The 16475-nt window shown below is 39.8% G+C and overlaps 2 protein-coding genes across 12 annotated transcripts in view, besides 2 other annotated features; one reads left to right on the forward strand and one right to left on the reverse strand.

The window, feature by feature from the left end:
• ZNF829 (zinc finger protein 829) overlaps positions 1–2486 on the reverse strand; it is a 28168-nt gene extending 25682 nt beyond the window's left edge. Inside the window, exons 1-3 of one of the 4 annotated variants that reach the window (XM_011526933.3) lie at positions 2460–2486; positions 1325–1446; positions 1160–1217 (exon numbers count right to left, since the gene is read on the reverse strand). In XM_011526933.3, coding sequence (XP_011525235.1) covers positions 1160–1217; positions 1325–1362 — 96 coding nt within the window. In that variant the 5' untranslated portion in view covers positions 1363–1446; positions 2460–2486. Of the gene's footprint in view, positions 1–1159; positions 1218–1324; positions 1447–1990 lie in introns of all 4 variants that reach the window. The other 3 variants (NM_001037232.4, XM_005258876.4, NM_001171979.2) reach the window with 3 other exon arrangements.
• Positions 2122–2171: an enhancer, noted in NCBI's record as "active region_14536". NCBI's record gives its function as "activates an Ori minimal core promoter by ATAC-STARR-seq in GM12878 lymphoblastoid cells {active_cell/tissue: GM12878}" and the evidence as "EXISTENCE:reporter gene assay evidence [ECO:0000049][PMID:35858748]".
• Positions 2232–2611: an enhancer, noted in NCBI's record as "active region_14537". NCBI's record gives its function as "activates an Ori minimal core promoter by ATAC-STARR-seq in GM12878 lymphoblastoid cells {active_cell/tissue: GM12878}" and the evidence as "EXISTENCE:reporter gene assay evidence [ECO:0000049][PMID:35858748]".
• Positions 2527–16475, forward strand: part of ZNF568 (zinc finger protein 568) — an 81601-nt gene continuing 67652 nt past the window's right edge. For 3 of the 8 annotated variants that reach the window (NM_001204838.2, NM_001204835.3, NM_198539.4), the window contains exons 1-4: positions 2527–2786; positions 3774–3843; positions 8781–9041; positions 11395–11453. In NM_001204838.2, the coding sequence (NP_001191767.1) occupies positions 8966–9041; positions 11395–11453 (135 nt within the window). In that variant the 5' untranslated portion in view covers positions 2527–2786; positions 3774–3843; positions 8781–8965. Of the gene's footprint in view, positions 3663–3773; positions 3844–7945; positions 8161–8780; positions 9042–11394; positions 11454–16475 lie in introns of all 8 variants that reach the window. The other 5 variants (NM_001204839.2, NM_001204836.2, XM_047438787.1 and 2 more) reach the window with 4 other exon arrangements.

The following is a 16475-nucleotide window of genomic DNA, read 5'->3' on the forward strand; positions in this document are numbered from 1 at the left end:
AAAATTACAGAAAGCCAAAAACAAAACAGTCAGAGGAAGACAAGGCAGATTACCATCAAGGGAGACGAGCTAATCAAGACTGTATGATACTGGCACAGGAATATAAAAAATCAGTGGAAGAGAATAAAGAGTTCATAAACATACCCATGCACATATAGACACTAGGTATATTTGAAGACCAATGAGAACACAATAGACCTTCCAATATATGGTATTGATAAACTGGGTATTAATAAGGAGGGGGGAATCTGACTCTTACCTCATAACATATACAAAAACCAGTTGCAACTATATAAAATATCTAAACATGAAAGTGAAACTTATGGCTTTAAGCATAAATATAGGAGAGTATCTGCATGACCTTGGGACAGGGAAGGATTTATTTAAAAAGATACAAAAAGCACTAACCATAAAGAAAAAATATTGATAAACTCAGCTTTTTAAAAATTAGAACTTATCATAAAATCATCTTACAGGAAATGATGAAATAGTCCAAATAGTAGGAAAACAATCAATAAAGGACTGAGATCCAGATTACATAAATAACTCATACGAATCAATAAGAGCTATTCCAAGAGAAAAATGAGTAAAGATTTGAACTGACATGTCACAAAAGATGACTAAAAACCAATAAACATATGGAATATGTTCAATTTTATTATTAATCACGGAAACCCAAATTCAAACCTGTGGGGGTGGGCGGGTATAAGTACAGATATATATTCAAATGAGGATTTAAAAGTCTGGCATGTCTGATTTGTATATCATAGTTTTTGCAAACATCAAAAATGTATTTCCCAAGACCATTTGATGACATGGGAGAATATTTCTGACACTTCTTTTTGCAAAAATGTAGAACATCAAATGGTAAATGAAATAAAATTTGGTTTTTGACAAATAATGAAAATACATTAAAATATTAACCCTAGTTATCTGAGTGGCTAAATTTTATTTTTTCTTGGTAATGCTGTGTTTTTGAGATCTCTAAATTAATCATCCTTTTATTTTTAAATCAGAATAAATATTTGAGAAGAAAATTCAGCAAGCATAAGTGGAGCAACCATCCTTTTCTGTGATGGGAAAATTATAGGGACCTATAATTAAATGACATTCCTTTAAGCAAGAATTTTCAGAAGAAAAAGAGGAAACCCCAACACACCTTGGATACTGCTTGTAGAAGTTCATCATGCATTCTTTCCTCCTCTTCTGGGTGACACCTGGAGAAAGGTAAAATTGGGAGAGGGAAGAGTAACTGTGAGACACCAGGTTTTTCTTGGTACCCAGATTAGTCAAGTAAGAGTTCTTCCCCAGCCCCATTACCCACCACACATGAGGAATGGAGATCAGAGGAGAATGGGGCATTCTGTCCAATTCCAGTGGCTCAGGGGAAAGGTTGTGTTCACTGCTGTCCAGGGTTGGAATCTGACCAGACCTCAGAGAGGTTTCCTAGAGACAGAGTTCTGGAGTCACAATCGCATAGTTGACAGGACCCCATACTCATACACAGAATGCCACATACATTTAGGGACAGTCACACTTAAGGCGACATGCACGTCTCACCTGCCCACAAGGAGCCACACACGGCAACACAGTTACAATCACATACACACCATAGGAAACACACAATTACAGCTGCACAATCGTAGGCACCCCACACTGTCGCAGAGTCACAATCACACATCACCACGGGAACACACAGCCACAACCCCCACAGTGACAGGTATCCCATATCCGCACATAAGCCGCAGTGTTATTATCTCCCAGACAATTTCACAACCTCCCCTCTTTTTTTGGGGGGGTGGGGTGGGGTGGGGACAGAGTCTTGCCCTGTCGCCAGGCTGGAGTGCAGTGGTGCGATCTCGGCTCACTGCAACCTCCGCCTCCCGGGTTCAAGTGATTCTCCTGCCTCAGCCTGCGAGTAGCTGGGATTACAGGCGCGCGCCACCATGCCTAGCTAATTTTTGTATTTTTAGTAGAGATGGGGTTTCACCATGTTGGCCAGGATGGTCTCGATCTCTTGACCTCGTGATCCTCCTGCCTCGGCCTCCCAAACACAACCTCCACCTTTCAGGCCGCTCCGCCCGCAGGGGCCCAAGGCGCCAGCTCCCCATCGGTCTTCGGTATCCTCACCTAAGCCCTTTCCAGTCATCCCGGATGGGAACTTGCAGACCTGAGCCAGTTCTCCTGGGGACCAAAATATCTCACCTCCCAGATCTAAGGGTCCCGCCAGGAGTGACGAAACGTTCGAATTCCTGCGAGAAAAGTGGCAGGCCACCAGGCCCTCTGGGAAATGTAGTCCAGAGCGGGACCCACGCCGATTCCTGTCAGCTCCTCGCCTGGGCCCACCCGAAACGGCTGCTCCCTCAACTCTCAACATCCAGCCGAGCCTCGGAGTTGCGGGTCGCCGTAGCGCTGCGCAATGGAGATGAGCCTCCCGGGGAACCCGGCCCAAGCCTCACCCTCACACAGGAAAGCAGATGTGTTCTGGCCGGAAGTTGAGTGGGGCCGCGGGGCCTGCTGGGAGGTGTTGTCCTCGGAAACGTCGCTGGCGCGGAGGGATGGTTCGGCGCTTTAGGCGTCTGTCACAGACCTATCTGCGGGTCGCCTTCACCCAGCATCTCAGAAACTGCGCGCGGGATGAACATTCGGGTGTTTCCGGCAGGTGACGCTGCCGAGTCCCCGCAGCAGGGGGCGAGCAAGGGACTCGCGGTTGACGGGACACGGATCCTCTAAGGCCCAGAGTGTCCCGAGTAGCGGCAGTGGGGAGTGCTCAGGGTACGCTAATGGTGAGTGGTTGCAGTTGATGGGACAAAAAACTGTGATGGGAGTTAGTGTGGGTGTGTGGTTGTGTGTGTGAGTGTGACGGCACGAATAATCTGATGGGGTGATTGTGATATTTGGTTGCGCGGGATTATGATGAAATGTGTGATATGTGTGTGATTATGATTAAGGCTGTAGCGAGTGTGAACGTGGCGAAGTGTGCGTGATTGTAATATGTCTAGTAGTTCTTGTCTTGAGCTGGCTTTTCTGTAGCATTTGGCACAGTTGGTAACGGCTTGAAAAACACTTATTTGTTTTCTACTGATCCTCCCTCCTTGTTGGCCACTCCTCTGTAGTCTTCTTTGCTGTCTTTTTTACCCTAGTAGCCCTTGGCCCTTTGTAATTTTCCACTATTCCTTGGCGAACTTTTCAGGTTCATTATTATCTTATGACTTGCTGCTTTTATGTATGTTAGTTAGCTATTGCCATGATAATAATTATGTCTAAAAACCACCCCTGAACTCAATGCCATACAACAGCAAGTCCTTACTCTCCTGTTCACAGGCTTGCGCATTGACTGTGTTCAGCTGATCTAGGTGGGGCTTGGCTGAGTGGATAGGCTGCGTGACGAGTTAAGATCTGCGCCGCATGTGTTCTTTCAGGGTCTCAGGCCAAAAGGACATTTGTTGCCAGGGCATGCTCTGCTCCTGATGGGTCACCAGAGCGCAAGAGAGATTGCCTCAACCAGAGCAAGTCACATGGCTAAGCCTAAAATCAATTATGCCCACAGTTGGAGAGCAAAGTTACCTCGCAAAGAGTATGAATAATAATCTATTAGAGGGTGTGAGGAATTGGACTAAAATTCCAGTCTACCACCTTAAGAAACATACCTCTTTATCCTGGTGAATGCCTTTTAGTCCGGGTTCTCTTTTGTCTGATAATATTGCTTTTCAAGTTTTATTGTATTTCTTAAGAATTTCATTTTCTAACCCCCTTGTGTCTTTATGTTTCAGATCTGTGTCTTGTAAAGAGCATATTGCTGGGCTTACATCCGTTTATCTTGTTTGACTGTTATTTTAATAGGTGAGTATAGTTCAGTGGCATTTATCATGATTGCTCATAAAAAATGTTTTATTTTCTATTACGCCTTAAACATTTTTGATTGACATATAATAGTTGCACATATATCTTTTTTTATTGTGCAAATTCACCTTATCCCTTTTTCTCCCCTAGGTTGGTTTCTGCTATTATCCTTTTTTAATATGCATGCTTAACAAAACTCAACCTTAAGACTTTAAAATACTTGAACTCCAAAATATCCACCAATTTCTGTGTTATTCTTGTCTCATATATTATTTTCTTCTAGTTTTTGTTGTTGTTGTTGTTTTGTTTTGTTTTTTTGAGACGGAGTCTCGCTCTGTCACCCAGGCTGGAGTGCAGTGGCACGGTCTCGGCTCACTGCAAACTCCGCCTCCCGAGTTCAAGCGATTCTCCTGCCTCAGCCTCCCGAGTAGCTGGGACTACAGACGCGCCACCACGCCCGGCTGATTTTTTGTATTTTTAGCAGAGACAGGGTTTCACCATGTTAGCCACCATGGTAGATCTCCTGACCTCGTGATTTGCCGACCTCAGCCTCCCAAAGTGCTGGGATTACAGGCGTAAGCCACCATGCCCAGCCTATTCTCTTCTAGTTTTAAATCCCCAAATTAGTAGTAGTAGCTCATTTATTCTATATACAGTTCGTATCCAGGAGGGGTTGGTTTCAAGACCCCCCATGGATACCAGAATCCACAGATGCTCAAGTCCCTACATCCTTCTTTATACATTAAATCATCTCTAGATTATTTGTAATACCTAATATAATGTAAATGCTGTGTAAATCATTGTTACACGTTATTGTTTAGGGAATAATGAGAAAAAAATCTGTACTGTACGTGTTCAGTACAGACACAACTGTAGTAGGCCTAACTGTATTTTTTATCTGAGGCTGATTGAATCTGAGGATGCAGAACCTGTGGATAAGGAGGACCAACTATGTATACACACATGTATATTTAATTGTGGTAAAATACACAACATAGAATTTACCATCTAAACCATATATAAGTGTACAGTTCAGTGGCATGAAGTACATTCACATTGTTATGGTACCGTCACCACCATCCAGCCAGAGAACTCTTCTTCTTGCAAAACAGAAACCCAGTACCTATCAAACAATAACTCTGTACCCCCCTTTCCCCCGGCCTATGGCATCTACCATTCTACTTTCTGTCTCTGAATTTGACTATTCTAAATACTTCATATAAGCAGAATCATATGTTGTTTGTGCTTTTGTGACCCTGATTTAACTTAGCATAACGTCCTCAAGATTCATCCATGTTAGCATGTATTGGAATTTCCTCCTTTTTTAAGGCCGAATGATAAGTATGTCATATATGGATAAATATTTTGTTTATCAATTTATTCATCATTGGACACTTGGGCTGCTTCTACCTTTTGGCAATTGCAAGTGACACTGCTACAAACATGGGTATACAACTATCTGAGTCCCTGCTTTCAGTTTTTTATATATACATGTGGTAATGTCTGTTTTTAATCTTTGATTGTCATAGTGTTTTCGATAATGACTGAACCATTTTATCAGCATATTTTTGAGCACCTACTATGAATATCAAAAACAGACAAAAATAAGTCCTTGTTTTCATGGAGTTTATGTTGAGGGGGGTGGGTGGACAGTATATATAACTAAATTATAGTCATGTGCCATATATGTATGGACTATATACATACATGACAGTGGTCCTGTAAGACAGTGGTCCCCAGCCTTTTTGGCACCAGGGAGTGGTTTTGTGGAAGACAATTTTTCCAGGGACTGGGGGATGGGAGGGTTATGGTTTCAGGATGAAACTGTTGTCCCTCAAATCATGAGGCATTAGATTCCTATAAGGAGCAAGCAACCTATATCCCTCGCATGCACAGTTCAGAAGAGGGTTCACACTCCTGTAAGGCTGTAATGCCACCACTAATCTGATAGAAGGTGGAGCTCAGGCGGTAATGCTCACTCACCTGCTGCTCACTTCCTGCTGTGTGGCCTGGTTCCTAACCAGGAACCAGTACTGTACCAGTACCGGTACGTGGCCCAGGGGTTGAGGACCCCTGCTGTAAGATTATAATGGAGCTGAAAAATTCCTGTCACCTAGTGACTTTCTAGCCAATATAACACTGTAGCACAATACCATTACTCATGTGTTTGCAGTGATGCTGCTGTAAACAAACCTACTCTGCTGCCAGTCATATAAAAGTATAACATAAAATTATGTACAGTACATAATACTTGGTAATGATAATAAATATGTTACTGGTTCATGTGCCTACTATACTATACTTTTTATCATTACTTTGGAGCATATGCCTATTTATTTAAAAAAAGTTAACTGTAAAACAGCCTCAGGTCCTTCAGGAGGTATTCCAGAAGAAGGCATTGTTATCATAGAATGTGATAGCTCTGTGTGTGTTATTGTCCCTGAAGATCTTCCAGTGGGGCCAGATGTGGAGGTGAAAGCCAGCACCAATGATCCTGGACACTGTGTAGGCCTAGGCTAATGGGTGTTTGTGTCTTAATTTTTAACAAGAAAGTTTAAAAAGTTAAAAAATTTTTAAGAAGATAGCTTATAGAATAAGGATATAAAGAAAAAATATTTTTGTACAGCTGTACAATGCATTTTAAGCTATGTGCTACTACAAGAGTCAAAAAGTTTTAAAAAATTGAAAAGCTGGCTGGACACAGTGGCTCACCCCTATAATCCCAGCACTTTGGGAGGCCGAGGCGGGTGGATTACAGGAGGTCAAGAGTTAGAGACCAGGCTGACCAACATGGTGAAACCCCGTCTCTACTAAAAATACAAAAATTAGCCGGGTGTGGTGGCAGACACCTGTAATCCCAGCTACTTGGGAGGCTGAGGCAGGAGAATCACTTGAACCCAGGAGGCTTAGGTTGCAGTTAGCCAAGATGGTGCCATTACTCCAGCCTGGGTGACAGAGTGAGACTCCATCTAAAAAAAAAAAAAAATGAAAAGCTTATAAAGTAACAAAGTTATAGTAAGCTAAGGCTAATTCAACAATTTGAAGAAATAAAAATTTTATAAATTTAGTGTAGCCTAAGTGTACAGTGTTTATAAAGTCTACAGTAGTGTACAGTAGTGTCCTAGGCCTTTGCGTTCACTCGCCACTCACTCAGAGCAACTTCCAGTTCTGCAAGTTTCATTCATGGTAAGTGCCCTTTACCAGTGTACCATTTTTTATCTTTTATATTATATTTTTACCATTTCTCTCCTGTGTTTAGGTATGTTTAGATATACAAACACCTACCTTTGTATTGCAGTTGTCTACAGTATTCAGTACAGTAACATGCCATACAGGTTCGTAGCCTAGGAGCAATAGGCTATACCATATAGCATAGGTGGGTAGTAGGCTATACCATCCACATTTGTGTAAGTACACTTATATTTGCACAATGATGAAATTGCCTAATGACACATTTCTCAGAGCATATCTCTGTTGCAAAGTGATGCGTGACTGTATATATTAATAGTTTGTTAGAAAGTGATCACTGTCGGCCAAGCATGGTGGCTTATGCCTGTAATCCCAGCACTTTGAGAGGCTGAGGCCAGCAGATCACCTGAGGTCAGGAGTTCAAGAACAGCCTGACCAACATGGAGAAATCCCATCTCTACTAAAAATACAAAATTAGCCGGGCGTGGTGGCGCATGCCTGTAATCCCAGCTACTCAGGAGGCTAAGCCAGGAGAATCACTTAAACCCAGGAGGCGGAGGTTGCAGTGAACTGAGATTGTGCCATTGCACTCCAGCCTGGGCAACAAGAGCGAAACTCCATCCAAAAAAAAAAAAGAAAGAAAGTGATCACTGTCATGAAAAAAAGTGAGTGTGTGAGGGGTATTAGGAGGATATCTCAAGCATAGCACTTCTCAAAACTTATTATAACTGAATGTTTTCTGTTTTATTTGTTCTATCATACAGGGCAAAAATTAGTCTATTTTGTTACATATATTTTTTTTTTACCCTTTACCTAATAAAGACTCATAGCAGCTGCTAAATTAATATATTTTAATAGTCATTTCGTATATTCATCCAATATTATTGTGACATGAGTATAATTGTCATTTCAGATGAAGAATCTTGGAATTCTAAATTGCAATTCTCCCTTAATTCAGTTGCCAAGATAATACAGAAATGGAATGGAATAGCTGGTCTTTGAATGAAACTCTCTTTTATGCCAAATTTGGGGTTGCTGCAAATCTGGGTGTTTTTTGACTCAGGTTTACATCTGTCACCTCATCGAGCATACACCTTTAGACACAGAAGATATCTGAAGAACAGATAGGTAAACATCACTTGGTTTATGCCTCTGGTCAGTGTGTCCAGAGTGTATGAATTACAAATAAGGAAGATTAGTGTTTGAGGCTATATTATCTATTAGTGTGTAACAAATTACCTCAAAAACTAGTGGCTTAAACAACAATAAACATTATCTCACAATTTCTGTGGGAAGTGTCTTCACTGCGTATTTGGGCTTGGGTATCTCATGAAGTTGCAGTCAAGTTGTCAGCCGGGCTGCAGTCATCAGAAGGCTGGGCTGGGGCTGGAGGGTTCACTTCCAAGATAGCTGGCTTCCAAGTTAGTGTTAGCTGTCAACAGGAGGCCTCTCCCTAGGGCTGGTTGAGTGTTGTCATGGTATGGCAGCTGGCTTCCCTCAACATCCATGATCCAAATGTGCAAGACAGAAGCCCTAATGTCTTTTATAACCTAACCTTAGAAGTCACACACCATCATTTCTGCAATATCCTATTGGTTATGCAGGTCAAAGGTACTCATGGTGGGAGGGATCTACAAAGGCATGAATACCAGAAGACGGTGGTCACTGGGGGCCATCTTGGAAGCTGGTTATCACAGGGAGCCAGTGAGAAGGCACCAGGTAAATTAGATTTATATCCTAATCCACAGGTCCTGGTTCCACAAGGATAAAACACATCTGCAGTGCAAATAGAAGTCTGAGGAACAGGTGTCTTATCATGGAAGGAGACCTGACCTGAGACCTGCCTTAGAGGCTGGAGAGTCCTGAAAGAGAGTGGACCCTGGAGTTGCTGGAGCTTGTCTTGACCCTTCTGCCCAGAGCAGGCAGGGTCTGAATGACATCTCAATCTTCAGTGATCAGCAATAGCTGTGTGACAATGGAGCGTTTGAGCCACATGATGGAAAGGAAAGGTGAGGTGGCTCATAGGTGGACAGAGCTTAGGAGAGAAAGGCTCTACATTTGGGGACAGTGAAAAGAAATTCATTACTCCTACTGAGAAAGGTCACGTATGTTAATTGACTAGGCAGGGGAGACATTTGTTTTTAATCATATTCATTTGACTATTTGATTTTTTAAAATAAATTTTGAAATGCAATTTTTATTTCTTAAGAGTATGTTTAAGTATATCTTTAAATGCTGTACTATAACATAAACAAAAGCTTCCTATTCCATCCATCCTGGTTCCCTGTCCCCATTCCTGAAAGGCAACCACTTTGAACATTTTTGTCTCAATATTCTGGTATTCACCTCCTTTTTTCTAAATAACATTCTTACACTGCTAATGCTTCATTTCTCAGTTTTAGATATTTCCTGTTGATTTTTGATAATGAAGTTAAGGATTTAGCTCTCTTTCACTACCTAACCCCTTCCGTTTCATCTCCACCCCAACACACTCTTCTCCTTGCCCTTCTTTCTAATATGGTATTATTTTTTGGAGGTTGAAGGTTGACCAGATGTCAGCATCTGTAAGCATTTTCTTTTGGGCTAGTCAGTTTCCCCAGCAAGAAGTCCTAGATTTTGCTTGAGAAGTACAAGCCAGAACTCCTGCTTTTTGGGAGACGAAGGAAGTGAGCATGTTGGACACCTCATCTTGCAATATGAGAACTTTAATTCTTTTCTCTCTGCATTGCTTCAACCCCACCTTTATCTGCATCTGGTATGCCTGAAATTCAGAGCTTGTCTCATTCAGTTTATCTAGAGAAATAATCTTTAATTTTTTTCTGTTGCCAATGTGAGGGAAATGTGACTATGCCATGTTGGGTGAAAGAAAACATCAGGTGGTTTTAACATCTTTTTATGACATCTTACATTCGGTTTTATGTTTTTCAGCCCTACTCCCAAACTCTAGTCCACAGAAGTAATTAGTAGCTCCATTCCTGAACCTTTCTAGGGTCTTGTCATGGCTTCCCCACCCTCCTCCCACCTTCACTTAAGCTTCAGCTTTCTCTGGTTAAGTTAGATACCACTCATTTGTCTGCTCTTTAGCTTCCCACATTTTGTTGACAGCTCTTATCTGTGGAAATCTTCTATATTCTTTGTCCTTATGAGTTTTAGCCTCCTTTTTTCCTTTATTAACATTATGATTGGTTTGGGAGAGAGTGGAAATATTAATAAATGCAGGTATTCAGGCTTTTATTTTTAACCAAAAGGCCCTGAATTTTTTAGGGTAAAAAATAAATCAAGTTTTTTAAAAATGTCATTAGAAACATGACTGTATTGCATCCTATCTTATCAATGTTCCACATTACCTATAGCCAGTCTCTGATGAAGGTTTTTTTCTAAATTATTTTTTTTGAGGGGGAGACAGAGTCTCGCTCTGTCGCCCAGGCTGGAGTGCAGTGGTGTGATCTCGGCTCACTGCAACCTGCACTTTCCGGGTTCAAGCGATTCTCCTGCCTCAGCCTCCCAAGTAGCTGGGACTACAGGCGCACGCCACTACGCCCAGCGAATTTTTGTATTTTTAGTAGAGACAGGGTTTCGCCATATTGGCCAAGCTGGTCTCGAACTCCTGACCTCGTGATCCGCCCGCCTTGGCCTCCCAAAGTGCTGGGATTACAGGCGTGACGACCGCGCCTGGCCCTAAATTTTTTATGGTTAAAAAATAACATTTTAGGCCAGGCGCGGCGTCACGCCTGTAATCCCAGCACTTTGGGAGGCCGAGGCAAATGGATCCCTTGAGGTCAGGAGTTCGAAACCAGCCTGGCCAACATGGTGAAACCCCTTCTCTACTAAAAATACAAAAAAGTTAGCCAGGCATGGTGGTGGATGCCTATAATCCCAGCTACGTGGGAGGCTGAGGCAGGAGAATCGCTTGAACCTGGGAGGCAGAGGTTGCAGTAAGCAGAGATCAGGCCACTGCACTCCAGCCTGGACGGCAGAGTGAGACTCCATCTCAAAAAAAAAAAGAAAAAAAAATTTTAAAGATCATCCCAATCTTTAAATTTTTGGGGTAACTATTATTATGTACTTAAGATAAACTTCCTGTTAGAAATAAAACAGCAAGATTCTAGGGAGATAAAATATTGCCAATAGATTCATTGGGCACTGCATACTTAGCCCTCCATAAATCCCCATCAGACCCCATATGATTAAATTAGCCATCTGTGTCCATTTCAGTGTCTATAGCTAGATGGCAGTTAACATTTCTTATTGCTTCAAGGATCATTCATCTGTAGAGGGTCTTCTAGCCACCTGGTACTGAAGATTTCTATATTCCTTTGTCTGAAACTTTGAAGCAAATCTGTTTCATTTCTCTTCCCTCAGCTTGGTGTTCTCAAGAGTCTGCCCTTTCCGAGGAAGAAGAGGATACAACCAGGCCTCTTGTACGTCTTAAGCATTTATTTGTTTCCTGCATTATTTTGCAGTGCAGTTACGGTGGGTTCTTGTAACCTACCAATGTGTTGGAAAAAATAAATTGATGAAAATAAAAGTGAGAAAAAATACAGATAGAAAATCAGAACCTGGGGAAATTTGAGATATGGCTATGCAGAAGCAGGTACATACAGAATTATTAAAGTTGAGTTCAAATTTAAATATGATCTGGACAGTCAAAGCAAACTGGGACACTTAAGTTTATTCCGTAAGTCCATAAGTTGCACCATTTATGAGGAAAAACTTACAATTATTTAAGTAAAAGGCTTTTAACTGGCACCTTGTTCAAAAAGAAACTCTAAAATATAGTTGGACTTCTGTATCTGTAGATTCTGCATCCATAGATTGAACCAACTGCAAATCAAAAATACTTGAAAAAAAAATGGGTGGTTGTATCTGTACTGAACATGTACAGACTTTTTTCTTGTCGTTTTCTAAACAACATAGTGTAACAACTATTTACATAGAAATCACATTATATTAGGTTTTATAAGTAATCTAGGGACGATTTAAAGTATACGGGAGGACGTACATTGGTTACGTACAAATCCTACACCATTTTATATAAGGGACTTGAGCATCAGTGGATTTTGGTATCCGTGGGGGGTCCTGGAACCAATTCTACATGGTTTCCTAGGGACGACTGTAATTCCTTAATTCTTACAATTTTTAGCTTAGCTTTTAGAAGTTGGTCTTGGCCAAACTTCAAAAATTCAAATTACCTGGAAGAGTAAGTGGAACACATATCTTTCAAATGATCCTACGTATATATTTTCTTCAATTGAGTTTTTAATCCAAGTTGAGCTAAATTATACTAATATTCTATGGCAGAATCTTATAGTTCTGATATCCATAGCTTTTCACATCTTTTTTATGGTCTCAGAAGATATAGTCTTCATCCTCATCTTACAAAATTACGTATTCTCTGCTCTTGATTCTTTTTGTTTCCACCTCTGAAGTCACTCACACACCTATATTTTGAATGTTTTCTGCTTAACTGCCTCTTTTTCTTCAGCTTATGTCTTTCACATCATGAAATATACACACATACTTCTTTTGACCATATGATCATATGGCTCATCCAGTTACTTCTGTTGGCGCGGTGGCCCTAGCAAACCTCTCTGGCCCTCGACAGGCTTGAGTTTAAATCTTGGCTCAGTGACTTATGAAGTGCATGACTGTGGACAAGTTTCTTAATCTTTTTGTGACTCAGTTACATCATCTGTAAGTCTATAAATGGGGATGATAATGGTATTTATCCCACAGGAATGTTGGGAGGGTTAAATACATGTAACAAGTACCCCATAAATGATAGGCATTGTTATTTTTTTCTCAAATATTTTTGGTCTGCCATTGGTTGAATCCATGGATATTGAACCCACAGATATGGAGAACCAACTGTTACAGCTTTATTGAGTTCTTACTATGTGCCAGATGTATTGTGCTTTACATAGCTTATTTCATGTAATTATTATCAGACGTCTATGAAGTACATATTATTTAAATTTTTTAAGATAAGGGAAATGAAGCACAGAGGTTAAGCTTACATAACATCGTGCATCAATGTGTCATAAACCCAGGATTCAAATCCATACAGTCTGACTCTAGGGCCCACACTCTACGATACTGTACAGATGGAGGCTCATTATGAGTGAAGAAATACAAAAGCCAATTACCCATTCATATTGTTTGTCTATTTTGTAATAATAGTTTTTTCTGTATTCGAAATTAGAATATTTTAAGAATGTCTATTTCAGTATTAGGACTTAGGATTTATGCAGCTACCTTCTCCCAATCTGTCATTTTTATGTTATTTATTTTTTGTTGTATAGACATTGAAGTTTGGATAGTTACATTTAGTGTATGATAAATATGTATACATAATAGAATTCAGTCAAAATATGCAACTATTAATATTTAGTAGTCTTTTCTCATGAGTTGCCAATGTTAATCTTTTCTAAGATATCTTTCCTAATTAATATTAGATCATAGAGATAATCTCTGTTCAAAGCATTGTTTTCCATATTTAGTCTTTAATCCAACTGGATTATAATATTGTAATTGGTTTGAGATAGGAATTTACTGATAATTCTATTAGTAGAATTATCTTTGCATGTAGAAGACCAGTTGTTCCAACACCGTTTATTAAGTAGATCTTTCCTTTGTGATGCCACCTTTACTGTATACATACATGATGGTTTCTAGGCTTTTACTTTTTCTGTAATCTATTTGTCTACATTTATATCAGTACTGTACTTTGTGTGTGTGTGTTTTACATTGGTTTAATTACAATTACTTTATATGGGCAATGATTTCACCACTTCTTTATGCACACACATTATTCTTAGTTTTTCAAAAATTTTTCAGCTACTTTGGGACCTCTGGGCTTCCATTTGAATTTTAGAATTAGTTTATCTAGTTCTAGGAAGAAATCCTATTGGGGATTTCCATTGAATTGCACAACTAGTTGGAGAAGAATTAAGCAAAAAATACATATATATAAAAAATATATAAATATATATATATATAAAGATATATGTGTGTGTGTGTGTGTATATATATATATATATATATATATATTATATATATATATATATTTTTTTTTTTTTTTTTTTTTTTTTTTTGGTGATGAAGTCTTGCTTTGTTGCCCAGGCTTGAGTGCAGTGACACGATCTTGGCTCACTGCAACCTCCACCTCCCGGGTTTAAGTGATTCTCATGCCTCAGCCTCCCAAGCAGCTGGGATTACAGGGGTACACCACCATGCCTGGCTAAGTTTTTGCATTTTTAGTAGAGATAGGGTTTCGCCATGTTGGCCAGGCTGACCTCAAGTGATTCTGACCTCAAGTGATCCACCTGCCTCAGCCTCCCAAAGTACTAGGATTGCAGGCATGAGCCATTGCACCTGTCCCGAAAGATATTTTCTGTCACAATTAAAGATGTTTCCATTTAAGGGAATCTATTAATATAAATTATTATATTCAAGAGAAAAACAATCAGATCTATAGAGCTGAAAATTTTTTTAACTCAGAACCTGTGATTTCAAAAGGACCTATTTATAAAGTAAAAGTAAAAGAACATTTTCTTATGATATTTTAAGAAATTATTCACACGCATACAACACATATATATGTGCAGATAATAAGCTACAAGCTAGTACCATGTTTACTTGTAAAAATTAGGCACTTTCCTACTAGTCAGGAACACAACCAGCTTGCCAGTGCTACTACTACGATTTTGTATGCCTAGACATAAGTAAGGGGAGGGAAATGAAGTAAAAAGCAGGATGGTGCATTCAAAATTATGATATCTAAGTGATACAATTATGTTTTTAGGCAACAGAAGAGAAACACAAGAATGATTGAAATATGGACACAAAATTAATATACAAAAATCAATACCATTTTTCTCTATAAACCACACCATCAAAAATGAAATGGAAGAATGATGCTCAGACTAGAAAAAAACCCGAAAGAAAAAAATAAAATGTATGTGGTGTACATGGGAGAATGAAACCTTCAAATTATTACTGAGATAGAGGATTTGAACAAATTTTTTAAATACCCTTTTTTGGATAAGAGCCATCATTATTAAATTAATATAAATTGTCTTTAACCTACATAGATTGATCAGAATCTCAATAACAATTCTAAATTATTTTTCTTAGAATTAGACAAGTTTATTTGAGCCGAGTCTAGAATACATTTGAAAAATAAAAACATGCAGAATGGCCAGGAAAAGTATAAAAGAATGTCATGTGCCATGCTCTAAGTTTTTAAAAGAAGAATATTTGTTTAATGCTTACATAACTTTAGGGAAAAAAAAATTTTATAAAAAGTTGCCAGTCAACATATACACCCAGAACTGACTTGTAGTTATCTTTATTCCCTCACTGTAAACTTTGTTATTTTAAACAATTATATTCTATTATGTATCTTAAAAGTGAAGAAAGCGAGGCATGGTGGCTCACACCTGTAATCCCAGCATTTTAGGAGGCCACAGCTGGAGGATCACTTGAGGCCAGGAGTTTGAGACCAGCTGGATCAATACAGCAAGACCCAGTCTTTACAAAAAATTTTAAAAAATTAGCTGGGTGTGGCCAGGCGTGGTGGCTCACGCCTGTAATCCCAGCACTTTGGGAGGCTGAGGCGGGTGAATCATGAGGTCAGAAGATCGAGAGCATTCTGGCTGACATGGTGAAACCCCGTTTCTACTAAAAATACAAAAAATTAGCCGGGTGTGGTCGTACACACCTGTAGTCCCAGCTACTTGGGAGGCTGAGGCAGGAGAATCACTTGTACCCAGGAGGCAGAGGTTGCAGTGAGCCGAGATCGCACCATTGCACTCCAGCCTGGGCGACAGAGCAAGACTCCGTCTCAAAAAAAAAAAAAAAAAAATTAGCTAGGTTTGGTGGCTCACATGTGTAGTCCCAGCTACTCAGGAGGCTGAGGCAGGAGGATTGCTTGAGCTCAGCAGTGAGTCTTCAGTGAGCTATGATTGTGGCACTGCTCCAGCTTAGGTGACAGAGCGAGACCCAGTTTCAAAGAAAAAAAAAAGTGAAGGAGAGGAAGGTGCTGTGGTACCAGCAAGAACATTGGAAATATTATTGCCTCTTGCCAGGGGCAGAAGCGTGTTCATGTTTTTTTTTTTTTTTGGTTCTGTTTGACAGGAGAAGGAATAAAACTTAATGACATGAACTGTGAATTTATGTTTTTTAAGGTTCGAACCCCTATGTTTCTTGCTATTAATACTGAATTTCTTAACATTTGTATGTGAAGAGAATCAACATCTTGGGAAAATAGACCCTATTGTAAAGACTGACTCATCATTTTATACAGTCAAAAATTAAAGCATATTTTACTTCTTGGTATTTTGTTACTTATGGCTTTTGTCAGGGATGCAATTTCTTTTTTTTTTTTTTGAGACAGAGTCTCGCTCTGTCGCCCAGGCTGGAGTGCAATGGCACAATCTTGG

The sequence above is a fragment of the Homo sapiens genome, chromosome 19, assembly GCF_000001405.40.
Source record: "Homo sapiens chromosome 19, GRCh38.p14 Primary Assembly".
NCBI classification, from domain to species: Eukaryota; Metazoa; Chordata; class Mammalia; order Primates; family Hominidae; genus Homo; species Homo sapiens.